Source organism: Homo sapiens, chromosome 3, assembly GCF_000001405.40.
Source record: "Homo sapiens chromosome 3, GRCh38.p14 Primary Assembly".
Taxonomy (NCBI): Eukaryota; Metazoa; Chordata; class Mammalia; order Primates; family Hominidae; genus Homo; species Homo sapiens.
This window is the reverse complement of record NC_000003.12, coordinates 97469316-97492188: the sequence shown is the minus strand read 5'-3', so window position 1 is coordinate 97492188 and position 22873 is coordinate 97469316. Positions and strand designations below refer to the sequence as shown.

At 35.7% G+C, this 22873-nt stretch overlaps 1 protein-coding gene and 1 pseudogene across 16 annotated transcripts in view; one reads left to right on the top strand and one right to left on the bottom strand.

Annotated features, from left to right (window-relative positions):
* EPHA6 (EPH receptor A6) overlaps nt 1–22873 on the bottom strand; it is a 946939-nt gene that overhangs the window by 269344 nt on the left and 654722 nt on the right. For all 16 annotated transcript variants that reach the window (XR_001740110.2, XM_017006211.2, XM_006713592.4 and 13 more), the window contains 3 exons: nt 16729–16837; nt 12825–12895; nt 8130–8255 (listed from right to left, as the gene is read on the bottom strand). Coding sequence is in view for 15 of the 16 variants with exons in the window: in XM_017006211.2 (XP_016861700.1) it covers nt 8130–8255; nt 12825–12895; nt 16729–16837 (306 nt within the window). In the remaining variant the exon portion in view is untranslated. The remainder of the gene's footprint in view (nt 1–8129; nt 8256–12824; nt 12896–16728; nt 16838–22873) is intronic.
* TPTE2P7 (TPTE2 pseudogene 7) lies at nt 10683–11012 on the top strand (annotated as a pseudogene).

Here is a 22873-nt window from a genome sequence, read left to right as displayed (position 1 = left end):
ATATCATTCATTAGGGGGTGCAAAGCAAAAATAGTCTTAGAGACAAAATAGCAAATGAATTCATAATCTGTTATTCACTTTAAGCTTGAAAAAATAATGATTCACTTAAAAAAAATCTATCAGCTATGTGGTAGATTGTAAAAAAATGGCCATGAATTCCTCCCTATCCTACATGTATGCCACTTTGCAATGTAATTTTGCTGTTCCCATTGACCAGTAAAATCTATTTTTCTACCTTGTTAAATATGGTCTGGCTTTGTGACTTGCTTTGATCAACTGTATGTGTCAGAATTAAGTTCAGAGACAAGACCTCAAGTGGCCTTACAACTCTTGCTCTCTGCTTGAAACACTGCCTACAAACACATGGTGGCTGTGGGATTAATGACAGCCCTATGGCCTACTCAAACAACTCACAGGGCCGACATTATGTGTCCTTAGGGGTATGATGCAAGTAGGCCTGGGGATGACTGGGTCTCTATGACAATGAGACCTAAAAACCCTGGATACCCTATACACAAGGCCATCTCAGCACAGATTCAACTCTCATAAACCTTAAAAAAAAAAAAAAAAGCATACCCTTACAAGGAGAGACTACACTCCCTTTATGAAAGAAACACCTAATAATTGACCCACACTGAATACAGGTATAAGAAAGTGGGAGGAACTTCCTAAACTCTGAGAATGGTCTCCAGACAGAGACCCTCCTGGTCAGTTGATCATCTGACCCCCCGACTGTACCTGGCCCATGCCACTGGCCTGCTCCCCACTATCCATCTTACAAGAGCACTGCCAGAATAAACTGCTTGAGTATCAGAGAGTGTCTAAGACTCATCTTTGATATCTTTGATGTGAATTGGACTGAAGGGGAGAAATCACTCCTGGTAATGCTGGCTAATTAGGACCACCTTAGAGCCCCAAACATAATGAAACAATACTATTTGTAGTAGGCAAACTTTTAAGATGGCCTGCAATGATCCCTGCATCCTGGTATTCCTGTCCTTGTGTGATCCCTTCCCTTCAGTGTGGGGAGGGTCTAGTATCATATTTATGGTCAATAGAATGTGCAAAGGTAATTTGCTGTCACTTCCATGATTAGGTTATAAAACACTGTGACTTCTGTCTTACTAGCAGACTCTGTTGCTGGCTTTGATGAAGCAAGCTGCCACGTTGGAGATGCCCACATGGTAAGAATCTGAGGATGTTCTCCAGCCAACAGCAGTGAGGAATTAAAACTGTCTGTGCAACAACCCTCAAAGGACTGTATCCTGACAGCAGCTATATAAATAAGTTTGGATGTGGATCCTTGCCCAGCTGACCTTCAGTTGAGACCACAGTCCCAGCTGACACCAGGACTGCAACCTTGTGAGCAACTGTGCAGGAGCTAAGCCATTCCTGAATCCTGAGCCACTGACACTGTGAGATAGTAATGTTCCTGTTTTAAGTTTTAGGGTAATTTGTTGTGCAGCAAGAGATAACTAATATACTCTAGAAATATAAGGGCTAAAAGTTGTTGCTGTCGATATGTGGGTCTTTCTCATCTATTGTTTCTTAGCCATAAGAAAGAACATCATTCTAAGATGTACCCAGTCTTGCTAACATCCTTGGAGAACTCTTTTGAAAATAGGGATCAAATTTCCTTCATTTCACCTAATATTTTAGCAATACACAAACTAGAAGAAAAAAATAAAAACAAATTTGAAAAATAACTTCTTTGTAAGTTATAAACAACTCTTCAAAATTACTTCCCCTGTTACATAAACTCAATTCAAAATAAAATATCAATGTAATATTTTCTGTATAATTCTGTATTTTACTATATAAGTGCAAAGGCATATAATAAATTCTATAATTTTGGTCTATCAAGTAAATTGTTAATATAAAGCAATGTAACAATTGTAATTCCCAAATGTCCTCTATGAATTTTTCTTATTTTTATTTGCACATATTATGCAATTAATTTTATATTGTCATACTTCATTAAGATTTTTGTTGGCAACCAGATAAACATAGTCACGTAAAATCATTACTTAGAATAATTCTATATCCTTTTGTCATTCATTTATTTACTCATTATTTTTTTAAATTAGTTTAAGAATTTTATTTATTTATTAAACAAGCATTTATCAAACAATGACTATGATGAGGCAACTTGCAAGTTTTGGAAATCTGTATATAAGATAGAAAATGTGTACTAAATGGTTCCAAATAAGATGTACGGTGTTGAAATGCAGGTAAACACTCATGAAATTAACAAAAATTAATTGAAAGTCTATTAAATTGATATACAGTCCTGCTCCTGACAGTAAATCTACTAATTCCTTAGATGTACCAAGAATAAATTGATAGACTACTGTAGAATAGTTTTACGTTATTTAAATAATTTTTCCTTTGATTCTCATCTTAAGACTTGTTGAGTTTTTTAACAAAAAATAAACATTCCCTGACAAATATAACCTCCTAAATATAAAAAAATAAGTTTTGAGTTTCTTTTTTTTTTTTTTTTAAGACGGAGTCTCGCTTTTTCGCCCAGGCTGGAGTGCAGTGGTGCGATCTCGGCTCACTGCAAGCTCTGCCTCCCGGGTTCATGCCATTCTCTTGCCTCAGCCTCCGGAGTAGCTGGGACTACAGGCACCCGCCACAACGCCCTGCTAATTTTTTGTGTTTTTTAGTAGAGACAGGGTTTCACCGTGTTAGCCAAGATTGTCTTGATCTCCTGACCTCGTGATCCACCCGCCTGGGCCTCCCAACATGCTGGGATTACAGGCGTGAGTCACCGTGCCCTGCCTTGAGTTTCTTTAATTAAAAAGAAAAAGAGTTTGTTGACATGGATATAACTCAATGTAGTAACAAAAATAAAATTTCATTTCAATTACTAATTTTCAACTAACTCTGAAAATCATAAATATTATTCCAGTTACCTAAGGCATTGACTGTTGAATTCTGCATGGGCAGATATTCATATCACAAAGTATATTGAGGGTTGGGCAATAAGTGTTATTCATCTCAGCAGTCAAAACTGAATGTAGAAACTGTATTTATTTTTTAATCTAATAGTCATTTCTAATCCTTTTATTAATCCTGTAAGATAGCTGTTATTATAAATCTACTTTATACATGGAGTGACCCAAATTTCTGAACGATAACTAAATTGTTAAAGTTTACAGAATGAGCTAGTAGCAAAGCTGTGATTCATATCTGAGTCTGTCTTGCTTCATTCTTTGCTTTTTCATTCATATCATAATATAGATGGAGAATGGGTAAAGCTGATCTTTTATTACATCATTTGATTTAGAAAGCTCTGAAATTATTGAGTAAAAGCACAAAGGCCTTGCCAAAATCTGTTGTTGATCTTATTCTCAGTCTACTCAACATGCAAAGTTTTCAAGAATACACAAGAAAATGAATGTGACCTCTACCATAAATCCTTTAAGTTGATGGACAAGAATGAATCTCATTTCTAAGGAAGTCATCTCATCTAAATATAGAGAAAATGAGCCATAAACACAAGGTTTTAAAATATATATATAAAGAGAATTGTGAAACCACATCTGGAATATTGCCTACATTTGTCATTGTCATGCTACAAGAATATATAACACAAGTGTAAAAGACAAACAAAAATACAGTTTCTTTAAGATAACTAAAAAATAATATATTCTAGAGTAGAAAATAGAGGCCTGCTGGGTTGAGGGTGGCAGGGGAATTAGGAGAGGCACATGAAGTGAACATTAGGCCTTGTATAGCATCAAGGGGAAATGTGATTTCAAACAAGACGGAATAACAGAATCGAAATATTAGGCTTGACACTCACTTTTATATCCTTCTTGTTGTCCTTTTGACATTCTTTTACCTGCAGATAACTGCTGAGAAACCAACAGTTAAAACTTCCTGGACTATTCTAGAAAGAGAAAAAATTTGGTGACTCTAAGCCAGAAGAGAAGGCTGATAGTGGAGGCCATAATGAGTTTCATATAGATAAAGGGAAAGAATATGTATGACAGGAAGATATTATGTATTTCCATTGAGACAAGGGAAACAGGGAAGGTCAAATTTAAGAAGGGTGCCCTATGGGCTTAGCGACACAAGAATCATTTTTTCAATGGAATAATGTTTCAAAATTATACTCTGCCAGGCAAGTTGTTCTTATACTGGTTTAGGTTTAGTAGTACCCTGAAAGAGGGACAACCTTTCAATGACTTTTTCAGACCATGATTAAAATTGTTTACCGTTTTCTCATATCTTGCAAGATATGTATAAAATAATGATTCTCCCCTAATCTGACCTGGCTGTTTTAGCCTGGGAGTTTCTGTTTTACAGTCCTCTGTCCACAGAATTTCATTTTATAGTGCAAAAAAGCCAAAGGAGATAGATGATCTTGATAGTCTCCTATGCAACAGAGCTGCTCACTTCATTTAAATGGAAATGTGCATTTTCATGGAAATTCAGGCCAATATTGATGAACAAAGATAAGCTGCCAGTATTAAATAGAACAGTGATACACACACAAAAAAAGTACCCTAGAAAACTTATAAAAAACCAGTGAAATTTATAGGGAAAGAAGGAGAATGTTAAGAATATATGTACAGAAAAATTAAATTTTTATGGTTCAGTTGCACAGTATTTTGATGGTTAGTAGTTGAAAATCTCAGGACAAAGATTGAGGAAGACAGCCTGAATACATGTATCTCTAATGAGCATAGTGATTTAATATGAAATGATTAAGTGGCACATTATCTTTTACAAGTAAATATTAGCCATCTAACAAACATTGTTCAGTGAATGTGGTAAGAAATGTCACAGGTCAGGTGTGATATCATGCTTTTTGTGAAAATGTTAATGTGGCTGTTTTACATTTATTTCTGATAACTCATTTAAGAAAGATTTAATGATTGTATATTGTGCTTTTCCAACTAGAAATCTGAAAAGTAATCTTAACTGTTGCTTTGCATGCATGTCTTGCATCTATAAGAGACAGAGGTCTCGTACATTTTTCCTCAGAAATGAACTGTGAATCTAAGTACTCCTTGCCATTCCTACTGTCAATGCCTTAATTCTGCCTGAATATCCTGCACTTGACAATTGTCACAACCTGATATCTGGCCTCTCTCATCTTCTCTACCTCACTTCACCTCTGTCTAGCATCTAGACTACCACTTAAGTCACTTAATTTACATTTCCAAGGGGACTACCTAACAGACAAAGATGATGAAGAAATAGAGTCCCAGAAGAAACAATCAATAGCTGGGGAAAGAAAATAAAGGATACAAAACAATGTAAGAAAATATTTATAGTTACAAATTGGGAAAGTAACCAGTGGTACACAGATGTTACACGACTGGTTCTTCTTCAATTTGAGCAATGTTTTGTCCACACTGCTGCTATGGAATACGTTCACACTTCACACAGTCACAAAAGTAAAGTTTTAGAAACATGACTGCTATGGTTTGAATGTGTCCCCTCAAGTGCACACACTGGAAACTTAATCCTTAATACAACTGTGTTTAGAGGTGGGACCTTAAAGAGGTAATTAGATCATGAGGGCTCAGCCCTCATGACTGGATTAATGCAGCAGCCTCATAAAAGGGAGAGGTCAGCCCCCTTTTTCTCTCCCTCACCCATGTGATGCCTTCCACCATGTTATGATGCAGCAGGAAGACCCTCAGCAGATGTGGCCCCTCAATCTTGACTTCAGCCGCCAGGACCTTGAGCCTAAAAACTCTGTTCATTATAAACTACCCCATGTGAGGCATTCTATTAGAGCAGCATAAAAAGGGCTATAACAATGATCTAAAGGAATAAATTAACAGAGCAGTACGGCCAGGGGCGCAAGTTAGGTTATAATACTTTTGTCTCACATACCAGTTTTATTTTTGTTATTTTTCTGAATATGGACAGTAAAAGGACCCTTAGCATATTGTTTGAAAGCTGAAACAATCAAAGATGAATAAAGATTTAAAAAGAGACCCCAATCTATAGGAATAACTACATGGTTTAGATAATCTGTCTTTGCCAAATGAGATAAACGCCATTATGACTTATTAGAGTTCAGGGACAGCAGGTGGAAAAATGAAATTAAAATAATCTCTTTAGTAGTTATTTTTTGCTTTTGCAGTATCAATTATACTTTTTTAAGAGAACAATTTATATTTTACTTGAAAAAATATCTAAAAATAAAAGAAACATTTTATTTCTTCTTATTGTTTATACTTCAGATACTTGATTTTATCTCTCAACATTATGATTTCAGACACTGGCATTTTGTTATGCTGTAGCACAAAGGGCTAAAACAGAAAATGCTTCTCCTGTATCTATGTGAGTATTGGACAAGGCAGTATAAAAAGACATATCAGTTTTTCACAGGTGCAAGAAGAAGAAAGCCAAACATCGTGTGCAATGGAGATTATCCAACCTCCTCTCTTCTCTATCCCTTTGCTGTCTTAAGAAAACAAACTCCAAAGCTAAATGAATATAATTCAATCACTCTTCTCAATTATGCCTGCTGATGTGCTCTTTGTTCAGTGGAAGAAGACAGAGAATCTGGTTCCATTTCAGGTCCTTAATCTTTCTGATAAGGCAGCTTCTTTGGCTGAGAACATAAAGATTATGAACATAAAGGCCCTTGTGGCAGCTTTCAGAGGGAGACCCAGCCATGCAGGAGATGAGGTGATCTATGGTACCTAGGGAATGGAGTGAAATCAGGAAGAACTCTCTGCAAATGTGCCTGGAATTCTTGAGGTAGTTCTACTTCTCTGTGTACCCGGGAAACAGGATTAGCTTCATGAGTATGTAACTTGTGCAGTCACGTACAGCCTTGAGTTTAGGTGTGCCCTGTAGTTGGTTTAGTTCTCTGTTGTCACCGTCTTGAAATAACTAATAAATTTTTAACAAGGGACTCTGTATATTTCAGGGTATACTGGGCCCTGCAAATTATGTAGCTTGTCCTTCTGGAGGAAAAAGGACTTTGAAAGAAACAGAGGATCATCAGCTGCTTTCTTTTGGCCTTTGTAAAGACATGACACCTGGCTGGAATGGCCATGCTTGCATCTGTTCTGCTCTTTCCAAAGGATTAAACAAATCTCCAGCATCTAGAGGAGACCTATGTTCCCCATCAAGATCCAATATCCCTTGTCTATTTTAGGAAAACAGCCCCCCTGCATAAATGTATGCATTTTAGCTGCATGCATGGCAGCTGTCGGCAATTCCGTTTCCAAACTCTCTAGCAATTAAGTATGTCCATGTTATTGTTATTTGGACCATTGAGATGTGAATACTGTGTTTGGAAGTTTCAGGTGATTGCCTTAAAAGCAAAACCAGAGAGACAGAACTATTTCCTTTTCCTTCTCACAGTCAGGAAGGCAGATGTACTGGTGACCCAGCTTTGGTCATTTACAGGAGGATGGCATGCTAGGGGAAGGAAGAGCCAAGAACAGAAGGAACTTGGGCCTTGCAAGTCCCCCTGAATGACAGCTCCTCTGCCAGCATGGACTATTCACCTTGGGTCAAGCATCTGAAAGAGGAATAAATCTGTATTCTGGAGTCTGTTTGTTACATTGGCTTAGCCTCTGCCTTAACTAATGTACAGCATAAATTCCTGTGGGGTGATTTACAAGAAATTTGTATTTATTCAGGATAGTTGAATAATAAAATGTTCTAAGATTGGAAAATTCTACATAGGGAGAAATATTAATTTGCATTAAAATGACCTAAAACTACATTGAACCAAATTTTATCTTTGGTGATTCTCAGAACTTTTCTGTGTCTTGCAGAGGCTCATGGTCATCATTTTAAATACTATTATAATTATAGTGTATGTCTATACATGTTGGCGCTCAAGTAAATCTATAACCTTATGACAAACCCCTAAAAATTATAGTTTCATTGTAATTTATCTCTACTATAAAAAAAGACTATAGAATGTTAAAAGTAACTTTTGTGAATGTTGTCATTGTTTGGAAACAAATGGACACTAAATATACTTAAAAAAAATAACATATACAAGATCACTTTACTTCTCACTTGTTAAAACTTTTCAATGACCAAAACTGCCAAGATTTAAGATAGTATGTTGATAAACCAGTTACAAAGAAATTAAGGAATGTTTTGTTCAAAAGTGTAGATTTGACATTTACCTGCCCCAATGACTCTCTCAATACGAATTCTTGAGGGATCAATCTCCTTTGCAAATTCATGGACTGCTAGGGATGGGTCTTCATATGTATCTGGATCAATGTAAGTTTTAATTCCCGGGAAGCGCACTGCAACAACAATAACAAAACGATTGATTTAGTTTGAGTATCTCAGTGGTCTATATCTTGTGAACATTTAAAACCGGAAATGACATACTGAAGTAGTCAGTCTTGATAATGATTTAAAGTCTCTCTTTTCTTCCTGTCCCATATTAAAGCTTTGACTACGAGGGTCAAAAATTTATTTACCTCACTGTTAATGTAGAATGACCTGGTGGATTTCTAGAAAGTGAGCTGACAGGTTCCAGAAAACACATGTCTCATATTTCTATAAAATGTTTAATCAGCTCACTCATTCACTATGCTTCCAAAACATTCCACATCTGCTCTAGCTTGGGGAATGGGGAAAATGAGGCATAAGCCTCCCTCCAAAGCAAGGAAGCCCACTAGGTTCCTCCTGGACTCTTTGTACTCTACGGCACTAGGTTTCATGAACTCATGCCCTATTCCTGTGGTCTCCCCCTTTTCCAGAAAACCTCAAGCAGTAAAGAACTGACTTCATGGCATAGAAACAAGAAAGGCCAGTAGGGATAATGGCCATTTTTTGTATTCATGTAGTGGCTTCCATGGACTGACTGCATATAGTCCTGAATAGGATCAGCTTGTCTATCCTGGTGGGAAGGATGGAAATCAAAGGCCAAAATCTGGTCATTGGTTGTGTATCTGCTGAGCTTCATTGGTGAGAATGGAGGGCTCACAGCCTACAGGCAGTTAGGATGATGAGAAAGGATGGCTAGAAAACATTAATGTGTGGTTGTATGTCCATTTGTGAGTATCCGAAGAAGTCATAGACTGCCTCTGCCCATGAATATCCCTCTGTTTTGATCATTTATTTATTTCTCTGCTTTTTTTAGAGAAATGGCAGTCTTGCTATGTTGTCCAGGCTGGCCTTGAATTCTTGAGCTCAAGTGATCCTCCTGCCTCGGCCTCCTGAGTAGCTGGGAGTACAGGCACAAGCCACCAAGCTGGCTCATTAATTTCCATTTTCCATTTTAGATCTCTAGACAGGAGGTCATTTCTTATATATCTTTCTATCGTTCCGAATATCTTAGGTATGGTTTTACAGGCAATAATCACACAGAGAGCCTTTATTGAATACAAACTAGTAGGGATTAAAAGACCAATGTGAAATTTGTGGCAGAGTGGATGGTATTTGGTTTTGTTGCTTCTTAGATTTTGAAAGTCTTATAATACCCAGCGTTAACTGTTGTTTGACTCTCCTTGCAAAACATATAAACAAAAAAATCAAAAACAAACAAACAAAAGGTAATAAAGTTTAGAGGAGGTGCTGAAATGCCCAATATTAGCAGCAATTTGCTTCCTTAGTCCTTCTATGCCCATTGCCTTCATTTACACATTTTGTCTTCTGTCTTCTTAGTGCTGCATATGGACCGTGAGAAAATTAATATTTCTCAAATTAGCACCAGAAAAGCATATTTCCAGGTATACCCAGACCTGACACTAATTTTAACATGTCATGCTTTCCTTGACTTCTCAAAGCATCCATTGAAGAAAATGAGAACAGATAGTTTGTACCTCTATTTTATATTCCATATGATATTTTCATAACAACTTAGTAGAATTTGTGATTTCAGACTGAGTTCTATAACCTCAAACCTAGTAGCCACTACTAATTATTAGTGATATCTAATCAGATCTGTGGTCATGTTGATAATATTATGCTAGGCACAGATAACAAGCATCATTTATTAACTCATATGTGGTTTTAACTATTAAACTATTCAATTATTTAAGGTGGTACACATTTCTATAGAATAAGATCAGTAAATATCACATTTTTTTCTTATAAACATATGTGTAGTAAAGAGGAAAATAAACAACCAAACTGAATTCCAATTTTGAATACCTGGTTACTAATTTAAACTTATCAACGTCTTCTTAAACATCAGTTGGTTAACTTTCTTCTACCTCCTTGGCTGTCTCGAGTTATTTTCATCGCTTCATGCTGGGCCCATCTGGTTTGGTTTATGCTAACCTACCTCTTGGAAAACAGATAATAAATGCCTCAGGAGCACCTTTTCCCTCTGCATAGCAGTACTAAATGCCCTGCAGTGAATCTTAAGGTTGCCCTGCGTTAAGTCATCAGCCCAGGTGTCTGGATCCAGGTTTCTGCAATCTGTTTACAGCCTTTCCATGTTATCCCATGCCAGATATCAGTTCTCTCAGCTCTGCCAGTGCAGTAAGAGTCAGACTTACTGTATAAAAGTTCCTCACAGGGGGCGGGGCCGGGGCGGTGCGGGGCGGGGCCGGGCGGCCGTTGAAGGCAGGGGGCGGGGCGTCTCCAAGCGGCGGGCCTAGGGAGGGCGCAACAGCTGCTCCCTGAAGACTTTCTGACCCAACAGTCCCCCAGCGCCGGACGCGCCGCGCCCCGGCGGCTCTAGGGACCCCCGGGCCTGCACTTAGCCCCGCGCCGGAGGAAGAACCGGAACTATGGTTTGTGCCTTCCTTATTGCCTCTGAAATATTTTTAACTGCAAAGGAAAGCCTGTATTATTTTGGAGAAAGGCGAACAGATAAAACCCACAGCAAAAAATTTCAGGGAGTAGAAACTCCTTCTCAGAATAGCTATGTTGGATATTTTGCACAAGTGAAACATCTCTACAACTGGAATCTCCCTCCAAGACGGATACTCTTTATGAAAACATTCATTATTTATTCAATTCCTGGTTATGTACGTGATCTAAAAGTCCAAATAGTAATGGAGAAAAAGGTTGTCTTTTCCAGTACTTCATGAGGAAATTGTTCGGCTGGAGTGCAGTGGCGTGATCTCGGCTCTCTACAACCTCCACCTCCCAGCCACCTGCCTTGGCCTCCCAAAGTGTCGAGATTGCAGCCTCTGCCCCGCTGCCACCCCGTCTGGGAAGTGAGGAGCCTCTCTGCCTGGCCGCCCATCATCTGGGATGTGAGGAGCCCCTCTGCCCAGCCACCCAGTCTGGGAAGTGAGGAGCGCCTCTTCCCGGCCGCCATCCCGTCTAGGAAGTGAGGAGCGTCTTTGCCCGGCCGCCCATTGTCTGAGATGTGGGGAGCGCCTCTGCTCTGCCACCCCGTCTGGGATATGAGGAGCGCCTCTGCCCGGCCGCCCCATCTGAGAAGTGAGGAGTCCCTCCGCTCGGCAGCCGCCCCATCTGGGAAGTGAGGAGCCCCTCTGCCCGGCCGCCACCCCGTCTGGGAGGTGTACCCAACAGCTCATTGAGAACGGGCCATGATGACGATGGCGGTTTTGTCAAATAGAAAAGGGGGAAATGTGGGGAAAAGAAAGAGAGATCAGATTGTTACTGTGTCTGTGTAGAAAGAATTAGACATAGGAGACTCCATTTTGTTCTGTACTAAGAAAAATTCTTCTGCCTTGGGATGCTGTTAATCTATAACCTTACCCCCAACCCCTTGCTCTCTGAAACATGTGCTGTGTCCACTCAGGGTTAAATGGATTAAGGGCGGTGCAAGATGTGCTTTGTTAAACAGATGCTTGAAGGCAGCATGCTGGTTAAGAGTCATCACCACTCCCTAATCTCAAGTACCCAGGGACACAAACACTGCGGAAGGCCGCAGGGTCCTCTGCCTAGGAAAACCAGAGAACCCTTGTTCACATGTTTATCTGCTGACCTTCCCTCCACTATTGTCCTATGACCCTGCCAAATCCCCCTCTCCGAGAAACAGCCAAGAATGATCAATAAATACTAAAAAAAATAAATAAATAAAAAGAAAGAAAAAAAAGAAAAATTCTAATTATACTTAAAAAATAATAATAAAAAATAAAAGTTCCTCACTTAAATCCTTTCCCTTTCCTGGAGGGTGGTATAGATTGAAATGTCCTTTATTATCTTTTGCTCAATTTGAAATAAAAGATAAAACAGTTAAGTTGCCTTGCATATTATCTCTACACTGTGGTTAATTAGAGAACATCCCTTTCTTGTTAATTCAGTGTCTCACAATAGAAAAACTGTCTTGCTGAAGTAGTTTGCAATTTGGAGGTGGAGGTGGAGGTGGATGTTGAGGAGGAGAAGTTGTCAGTTATCAAACCAGCTATAGTGGTAATTATAGGTTGCTTGGGAATAGATCTCTCAAATGAATATAACCTTGTAGTCAGCCCAAGGATTTCATACATATTCTAAGAGTTAAAGAGCTGATATTCTTTTTTAGTATTAATGAATTGTAAATTGATTTGTTATATATTTAAAAGACAGTCCCTACAAGAAGGAATAAAGATTCCCTAATATTTATTTCTATGTCTAATGTTCCACTAGATAAAATCAACTCATGTTTTAGAGCCATTGTGAGTGGTAAATAACTTGATAAAATCAGTCAACTATTATTTTTAGCAAATTCAGTCTGTTGTGTTTTCCAGCAAGCAGAATTGGGAACAAGGTAATGTTATTTAATGAGAAGCAGGTGCAACTTTCACCAACAAACCTGGAAACCAGATGAAAATTCTTAATGCTGAAAGGTTGGAAGTGATTTTTTTTTTCTTTTTTTCTCAACTCAATAGATACAGTTTGAATGAACTCCTGAAGTGCTGGAACAGTACAAAATAATGAAAGAAAGTCCCTGCGCTACTTACAATGCCCATTCTGTAAGTGGTTTCTTCTCTTCTCTTCTGACTTCATCTTGGCTTTTATGTACCACTGACATCTTTTAAAAAGATTAAAAAAAAAAACTTGTTTTAAGAAGTATGATGCATACAATGCAAAACCAATTAAAATACATATAATCTATGAACAAATTTCTTGTCATAAAGACCACTTTTAAAATATCTTTATAACGTGAAAATATTCTATAGTAGGTTTTTTATGTACACTGAAATTAGCCCTAGAATAAAATGCTGTTAAGTAGATGGATTCGAAAGATAGGAGTCTTAGAAAATATTTAATAATCTGCCATAACCATCCCTTACATGACTACTAATAGCTAGAGTTGGTAAAAAGAAAATTAAAAGTCAAAATAAAAAAAGCATTTTGAGTCAGAATTTCAGAAATGTATACAACTGTCTTCCATTTTCACTGCTAAACAGCAGGATGGTTCAGCAGTTTTATTTTTTAATATTTGGAATTTGGTAGAGGCATGTTCTAGTCTCCCTCTGGATAACCATGCTCTCAAGATTTCTTCAATATGAGTAAATTCTTCAACATCCATATGATTTGATGGTTTATCAAATTTCTAATGGCTAAACAAAGTACGTCTGTGTTACATAATTCAGTCTTTCAATGGGAATTTTGCCTCGAATTCTATGGCAAGTTGAGCATTTATTCAGAAATGTCTTACAGTTTTCATAGAATATTTTCCAATGACTGCTCCCCTACCAAAGTGCTTAAGCAATACTTCAAAATATTTTTTTTTCTATTTTATGTAATTGAAATTGTTCTCTTCATTGCATGGAATGTTAAAGCAATTTCTAATGAAATATAAATTGGCAAACATAGAAACTGAAAGCTGAAAATAATTTAGCACAAATTTTTCTTCATCATTAAATTCTCCTTTGAAGTGGTATATCTATTCTGCTCCAGGAATCCCAAATAAAGATAATATTTGAGCCCAACTCTCAAGTTTATTAGGCAATACTTATTTAGCCTGCAAAGATTGAAATGTTTTCTTTTGTGTTTGTCATATTTATGTGTTAAGGAAATATTTTCTGATGCCTTAATGAAATGCTTTGCCACATGTGTATGTGCTATTTAAATCACTGTTTACTGAAATACTCTATGAAAAAATAAGGCCTTAACTTATGTTCTACAAGATACATATAACTGTATCCAATTTTGCAATATAGTGAATCATTATTAAATTTCTTTTAAACGTCCAGAGGATTTTTTTCTATTGTAAATAATGTAATACTGATGTTAAATAAAATCACATTTAAGAAATTACTCCCTCCATAAACATATGTGTGCACATGTACCCTAGAACTTAAAGTATAATAATAAGAAAAGGAGATTACTCCCTCCTTCAAAGAAACTTTGAAAATGGAAAACAAAAATATTTCTGAATCAAAATCAACCATCATACCTATTTTTTCACAGTATAGTTACATGATAAATTTGTGTCTTTGTAGTTAAGAGCTCCTTAAAGTACAATGGAATGCCATTGTACTTTAAAAACTAAATAAACTTTCTGGGCTCCAAAGCAGATTGTCCTTCATGATAATTAGAGTATTATAAAGATATCAGTGACCCCAGTTCAAAATGCATGGGCAGCATTAATGTTATAGAGGGTAAGGAATATACAGTAAGGTTTATTCTTCTATTTAACATTTTCCTAATAAAGTTTACTAAACACGTAGCAATGCTAAAGTAGTGGCAATTTGATTTTCTTAACCAAATTGTCATTGTGACTTTACATACAACAAAATACTTTTATTTTCTTTTTTCCTTTCTTTTTTAAACTTGCGCCATTAACCCTCACTGAAACTTCCTCTCTCTCTTTCTCTCCTTCCTTTCCTCCCTCCCTTCCTTCCCTTCCTCCCCTCCCCTCCCCTCCCCTTCCCTTCCCTTCCTCTCTCTTTCTCTTTCTCTTTCTCTAACCATAACTGTCTTGTAATCCCTCTCTTTGCCAGAGTCCAAAATAGTATGGGAATAATTTTAATCTTTCTCAGAAAACTTAGACCTCCACCAGGATGTTTAGGGGTTTTGTTTATTTTTTATAATCACTTTATTCTGGCTAGTGATTCAAGTTTTTGTAGGCCATGTTTGATAAGCTGCAGTGTTGAACATTTAATCTACAACCTAATGGTTAATTGGTTTAGAGATTCCAAAATTTGCTTTCTGTCCTCTATAAAAGATGAGCTATATCAAAGCTCTGATGATGGCAGTTAGCTGTCAGAGGTTTGCCCTAAAAATAAAGGAAAAGGGTCCTAAGAGGATGCTGGACAACAGTGCCTGATGGTGGCAACATGTTGTGCCCAAATTAGTACTTGTATTAAGATGAATTTATCATTATTTCCTGCATTCTTTCATGTCTGTTTTTTTCCTTGTTACTGTAGCTGGCATTATTCTATCAGCTAATCACCCCCCAAAACTAGAGACCCCCAAATACTCCCTCTTAATTCTAAGACCATTACTATATCTGTTTATATACATGAAAAACTTAAGTAAACATAGTTGTAAAGTGCCTTCTTTCCACTTAATTTCACAAATAAGTCATCATTTTTAACTCAACCACATTAGAATATTCATGCTGCTTTTTTCCTCGGTAAATTCTATAAAAGGAGGTTTGTTACAACTATATCTAATACACTGTTACTGAATAGCAGTTGTATATTTGTCAGGGACCCACATTTGATACATGCAAAGTACTTGTCAAGTTCTATACTTTTTGGTGTGCTGTCAAAATTGTAGACAATTTTTCATATGTGTATTAAAATTACCTCTGTAATTTTAAGTAGATTAAATTTTAATAAAATGTTGGTCCCTAAGCAGAGTTTTAAAAACAAATAGTGTTTTCGGTTCACTGAAGGTGCTGTTTATTATTTCTGCTCTTTCTGACGTACCAATGTTTTCTGGCAGGGTTGGTGTACTTTAGCTGGAGTCAACATTGGTGTGTACTGTTTGGCTGACATTCTTTTTGCAGTTTTAAATCATGATAGTGAAATATTGCAGTAGATGTGTGTTTCTGATTATAAAAAATCTGTTGAGGTATTCTTTTGTGCCTCTTTTGATATCTAGATAGACTATTTTATCTTCTTGTTAGAATGATCTGAGAATAAAATATTGTGATTTCTGGAAAAAGTCCTGGCCAAATACCATGGATTAAATAAGAAATAACATTTATTCTTTGATATAATTTTATACATATTATCTTCATTCACGTCTGTATTATCAGCACCTGGATTATGGTATTCATACTATTTATTTAAAAGTCATTAAATGGTTTTAATATACTTTTGTATCAAACCTGTATAAAAATAGAAAGCTAAGGTTCTGATGGGTGAAGCACTTGGACCAGTTAGTCAGGATTCAAATTTAGGTCTTTTGCTATGTTAAATTTACTGTTAGTTTATATTTTATTCAAATTACTTTGAAGTATAGAAATATTGGATTTATAAAACCAATTAATATAATTCTAACATAGACAGTTTCAATATTTAATTGACAAAATATTATATTTCTATAACACTAGGTTTATAAAGAGTTTTTCTATAAATTGTTCTGACTTTCCATTAAAATATTTTTTAAGAAAATTATTTTTTATGATGTAATTTGATTATAGTAAAGGAAAAATATGGAGTAACTTATTGACTATAAATTCATCATTCATAGCTTTCAAACAGCTTTAGTCATCTTCGGATCTTTCCATATTCAGGGACCTGTTGAAACAGAGAACTAATGATGGTTCACTGTCAGAGTGGATTCTTATGGGATCCCTCTCGACCTCAGGTGTGCTTTGTTATATCTAAAAGCATTTGAATACACAATGTATAAAAAGAGTGGTTATTCATAAATCTCGGAAATAGTATGGTATGTTTCAGTTACCTCCCAGTGATCAAGAAGAATAAAGTGAGGATGACGAGGAGAGTGAATCCGCCAACAGCGGCGGTGGCTATCACGAGAATCTGTCCTTGTTCTGCTGCCATGTCAGAAGCTGAAACAGAGATACAATATTAAAATTTCCCTGGGTGACATTTCACTATTAAAACCATTTTACAATTTAGTTTACACTAGAAAATACAATAACGGATGCCAAGCTCAGTATATTTGGCCTTTATTTCAGTATTTGACACGTATGAAGCAAACCCAAAATAAATGAGTTTTGACTCAGGGCTGAAGAGTTGGGGCCATAACCCACAACATAAACCTGTCCTCTTTCTTCAAAAAAGATCAATAAAGTAGATGAATTCTTAGTACCCCTTATTTTAAGATTAAGTATGTGCTGTAAAACTAAATCAGCAGATAGGCTAAAGAATTGTTTTATGTAATTGCTCACTGTATTTCCTCTTAAACACTGGCCAATAGACCAGGCTTTATAGACTGTTTTGATATCTGTTTTCACAAAGTAGAAAGACTACTGTATAATTCCTTTTAAGAATGATGTTCTTTATACTTCATAGAACTTAATTCAAACACTAAAATTGTGGATTCTCACCTCCACAGCACGAGGATATACATAATGGGTGCTTAGATGTTTAATCAGCAATAATTGGAAAAATGATGTTTAAAAGCTTCCTTTTTTGAAGAAAAGACCAGATTATATATGGTAGCAACATGTTCCTTCTTTCATTCATAAAACTGTCTCTTAAAAGCACATGAGCTGCATGTTTTACTAATCTTCTGGGAATCTTTTAACATATATCATTTAAATTAATTTATTAGCACTTCTAATTTTTTATATTAATAATGCTTTAATCAAATATAATTTTCAATGAGTGGAATAGGCAATTCCTCAATAATAGAGGTAAGAAAACAGAAGCACAGAAAAATTAAAGAAATTGCCCAAGCCCACATAAAACTATGACCAGAATTCAGTCTTTCAGGGTTTTGTCTCATTTCTCCATTTTTGTTACTATAACTTGTAGTAATAATTGAGTTAATCATCAATAATATAAAAAACCAAATCAATCAGTCTCTTAATGTTCCTTAACTTAAATTAAACTTGTTTTTTATTTTGACTACTGAAAATAAATAATATCTATTAATCTTATCAGCTATTGGAGAAAATTGGATCAAATAAAGTATATAACTGAGAAGCAAACTGCAGAAGTCTCTAACATAATAATTTATTAAACTTGAGTATTTTACAGCTTCCACAGAAGTAGATCTTTTTCTGGGAATTGAGTATGCAGTATATTATGTGCAAATTCATATCCAGAGTAATAGCATTCTCATAAAAATGACATATCTACAACAGAATGTCTAAGCCTTCAACACTATTGTCAAGTCAGTAAGAAACCAGTCACAGCACTTTAGAGACTTTTAAAAAAATCTGAATGTAAATAAAAACAAAAGAGTTGAAGTCATTTATGTTCAGTTTTCAGTAAGAGAAATGTATTAAATCTTAGAATTAGAACTTAGTCACTATGATTTAATCAAGACATTTTCAAGCAATGTACTACAATGTTAAGTTTTCACTCATAATCTGTGCAGAGACAAGTTAAATAGTTGCATCTTATCCAATAAATAATGTACTGAAGGTTTTTTATTAGGTCTTCACTGAATTTCCTAATCTTCAAAATAGCACCGATATCATGGGAATGAATGTTGTGCTCTAAAATGTCATATTTTCTCACTGAAAGTTATTGAATAACAAAAATGTAAGAAATAGTTGTTCTAGAAAGCATTATCTTTTTGAAGATAAAGCAGATGGCATTTACCCAAAAAACATTATTTACTTAAAAACTGTTGTATCTGTAAAATAAATAGCATAATTCAAGAATTTTGAATCAGGGGCATATAGTTTCATAGTAGTTAGGTAGCTATAATTTGTTGAGTCCAAAATTCAGAGGGAGATTTTGTAATTGGGTGCCTTTTGAAAATCAGATTACTTTGTTATAAAAAATGGTGTTGTTTTACATACATAATTACTGACTAAACTGCTAATTCTACAAATATGTCTCCTTCTGCACACTTGTTATTACATTTATAAACTTTGTTTTAATTAAAATTTTAATTGGATAACAATCTTAAGTTATGACCCTTTGAAAAATGCATATTCCTGCATAATTGTTTCTTAAACTTAGGAACTGTAAACACTCCTCTGTGGAGAATAAAATGTGTTAAATACTCTTATTAGAAAATAAATATGTTAAATACTCTTATTTCCTAATAAGAGTATTTAATGAAACACTATTATACTGGGAGTAAAATGCTATAGATTGTGAGGCTGGGATGATTATAAAAACCTCATCAACATTATCATCTTCAACAAGAACAACAGTCATTATTTATTTAATAGGAAACTATGAGCGTCAATTCATTATCAAAATTATCTTCACAATGGTCTTGATAGGTAGGTACTATTATCATTCCTAGTTTAAACAGTTACTTTCTCAAGGTTACATATCTTGTCAAGGGAAAGCCGGCAATCCAACTTCTTTTTGCCGATCTCCAAGCCCAAGCAATTGCCAGTACTTTAAACCACCATTTTTCCTAACAGAAGAACTAACTAGATCTAGCGGTTTTGGTTACCCTACAACAATCATAGCCTTGCTTGAACTTGATTTCATGTCTGTAAAATGATAATGTTGAATTAAACATTCTTGTCACAATCTTTCAGAGCAATTGTACTATGATATTGTGTTATCCATGCAGGCTGCAACAAAATAGTGGAAAGAACAAGATTTGCCATATGGAAATAAAAACACTCAGGAGCTTGGTCCTGATGGGGATAATTTTTGCGTTTTATCATATTAGTGTTGGTCCATCACAGAGCTCTGACTTCATCTCAGGATAAACTACAAGGCCCTTAACTTTGTTATCAAAGCTGTCTACAAATGGCTCTAGCGTATGTCTTCAGATACATCTTATCATTCTTTAAGCATACTGAATTTCTTCCAAGTCCTTGAATGAGCCAAACTCTTAATATCTGGTCAATTTCTAATCACTCCTCCATGAATATCTTATCATTTGGGAAGCACTTTTTTTTCTGGTTGTTTAGATTTGGGTAGGTCCCCAGACAGATGTTCCCCAAGACCCTTAAAAGATTTCTACCAATAAAACCATCACATTTTATTGAAATTACTTTTTATAATCTGTCTTTCTCATTTGATTTCAAATTCAATGAGAGCAGGAACTATATTCACTATGATATCCATAGTGGGGTGAATGGTGACAGCCTTTCCCCCTCCCCTCAAAAAAGGAATTTGCAGGTGTAATTAAGAAACTTGATTATCCTGGATTAAACAGGTTGTCCCATATCCAATGACAAGTGTCCTTATGAGAGAGAAAAGTGGAGAAGACAAAGACGAGAAGGCCATGTAAAGACACATGTAAAGACAAAGGCAGAGATGAGTTATGCAACCCACAAGCCAAAGAATAAGACACCAGAAGCAAGAAGAGAAAAGGAAGAAGTCTCTCTTAGAAACTTTGGAGGGAGCATGCTTTTGGTCTCCAGAGCTGTGATATATTGTTTTAAGCCATTGACTTAGTGACAATTTGTTTCAACAGTCCTAGGAAACCAATACAGTGTCCAGCCTACATGGTAATAAATATTCCTTTGAGTGAGTGGGTTGAATAATTATTTGCACTGGATGGTTCTGGTAAGAAAAGTTCAGGAGTAATCCACATTCCCACCCTTCCCTTGATATGTGGGGAAGATTTACCATCAGTGTAGCTATACAATGTACGTGAAGAGAGTGTACCCAACACTAATCAGAAAAATCCAATTACTCTGTGTGCTTGGAGACAATGCTTTCTGGGAGGTAGAAGCTACTAGGGAATTCAGACTGCTACATTTTACCAAGTTGAGTGGACCAAAGCTCAGAAATATGAGTCTAAGGTTAAGAATTTATTAGTTCATTCAATTAATATTTATTGAGCAACTAGTTTATGCTAGGCACTAACATAGACACAGGGTATACAGTGATGAACAAAACACAGTTACTGTGCTCATGGATTTTCAGTTCAGTGGGGAAGACAGACACTGAATAAGAAATTACAGAAGTAATTATTGTTACAAAAGGGAAACTGAATGGTGTTGGAAAAGAATAAGCAGCCTCTGGCAGTGAGTGAGCTGACAGGGAATTTGGGAAAATGTAATGTGTTGGAAGAAGTAAGAGGAGGAACAGGATGATCACCTCCTTGGCTAGAGATCTCATTAGTTTGGTTTATTTAAATAGACACTTAAAGAAACAAATAAGCAAACCATGAAGTTACCTGCCAAATGGATTCCACTAAAATACAGTAGAGCTACAAATGTCTCTGTTATGAAAACTTGTCTATAGCATTATCCATTCAGTTTTTTCAATCCTGAGCAGAACCTTCTCATTAGTTTTGTAGGAGAAAAATGTATCGTTTACTCATATAAGTGGCATCTGTTGAAAGCAAACTTGTCCCTAAAAAGAACCACTCTGAAATCCATAGTGTAAAATAAAATTTATTTGTGACTCACTGATTGGAAATGATCCTTTGTTTAATTGTTAGCTTGTATTCTTGGACAAAGATAAAAATATTAAAATGATATATTTCATTCTATGATTTGGGAAGAAGTATACTTCCTTAAGAGGAAGCAATTATCCAAAAAGAATTGCAAAATTGTAACTGAGCAACAGCGTTTGGCATAAGTTGTGATGACATTATTAAGTGTGGTTTGTTTCCATCTAAAGAAAAAAAAAGTGAAATGCTTTACTTGGAATCTAAATACTTAAAAAAGAGATTTCATATCTTTAGGAAAGTGTCGGAGAAAGGCAATTTGGCTATTTTTAACCAAAGAATTTTCTTCTATGGAGGCATATGATTTTGTCTCCCTGTAATCAAGATTATTCTAGTTTATATTTACATTTCAAAGTAAAATCTGTTATTTGTATTCTGTGTCATTTTCTGTGGAATAGATTTTTAAAGTTAACTCTTTTCTGTTATGAACATATTTTTAAAGTTATTGAAGACAGTAGTTAATATGAATTTTTAAATAAAGCATCTCACAAAAAATGCTGCTCAGTGAAATAAATTGTCTTCATCATTTCAACAGAATGATTTCTTTAAACATAGCACAAATCTCAACAAAGCCATGAATTGATGATACCCAGTAAATTAGTTTTAAAGTTTATGGACAACCAATACAGGAAAATTCTCCTCTCAGATCATGTATAGAAATCAGAATTGGCTTAACTTTATAAGCATTTAGCAACACATAATGGAGATTAATTAATCTTCACATTTTCAACACCACATTCTCATGCAGACAGAAGAGTATGAGATACAAATGAAAGCTGAGGAAACATATCTTCTAGATGAACATAAACTTGTGACTTTGTAGATGATATTGTTATCATTTGGGCCACGTGGGTTTAAAAGCATAGGGTTATCCTTGATTTTGCATTTTCCTACAACTCCAAGTCCAGAGTCAAGTTTTTCATCCTGCCTCTATTACCAGTGACACAGCCTACTGTGAGGCTTCAGCCCCACAGGAGTAGACTAGTTTCATCATTTGCTATTAGGTTGCCTTTCCACAGTATCTCTTCACAATACATCCACGTTATATGGATGTAATTATTCTTCATAATAACATTTTAAAATATTGAGAACATTTCCCATTGCCTAGAAAGTAAAATCATCCCTTTCCCATGTCCCATTCTCAGAGATGTTCAGGCAAGAAACCTTGGACTCAGCCCTCAACCAATTCTCTCCTTCGCCTTCCAAGTTGATCAGTCCTGTCCCTTATAATTTTAAAGTATTTCTTAGATTCTTTCTCATTCTCTCCAACTCCCACTGTATTTTCTTAGTTCAGGTACCCATATTATCACATGTATTTGAAATCAGCTAGACAGCAGTCTCAATTATGTGATTTAGTTGAACGATAGAAAGCAAGACAAAAACAAATAAAAAAGATTCTCTAGAAAGGCATCTGACTGAGGTCCACATACTATAAAACAGCTTTGATACCTCACAGTTTTACTTCACATATATTTATTGATTTCCAAGTTCATAAAATAGTGTAGTAGGCAACAGATTAGAAGATAGGTTGGGG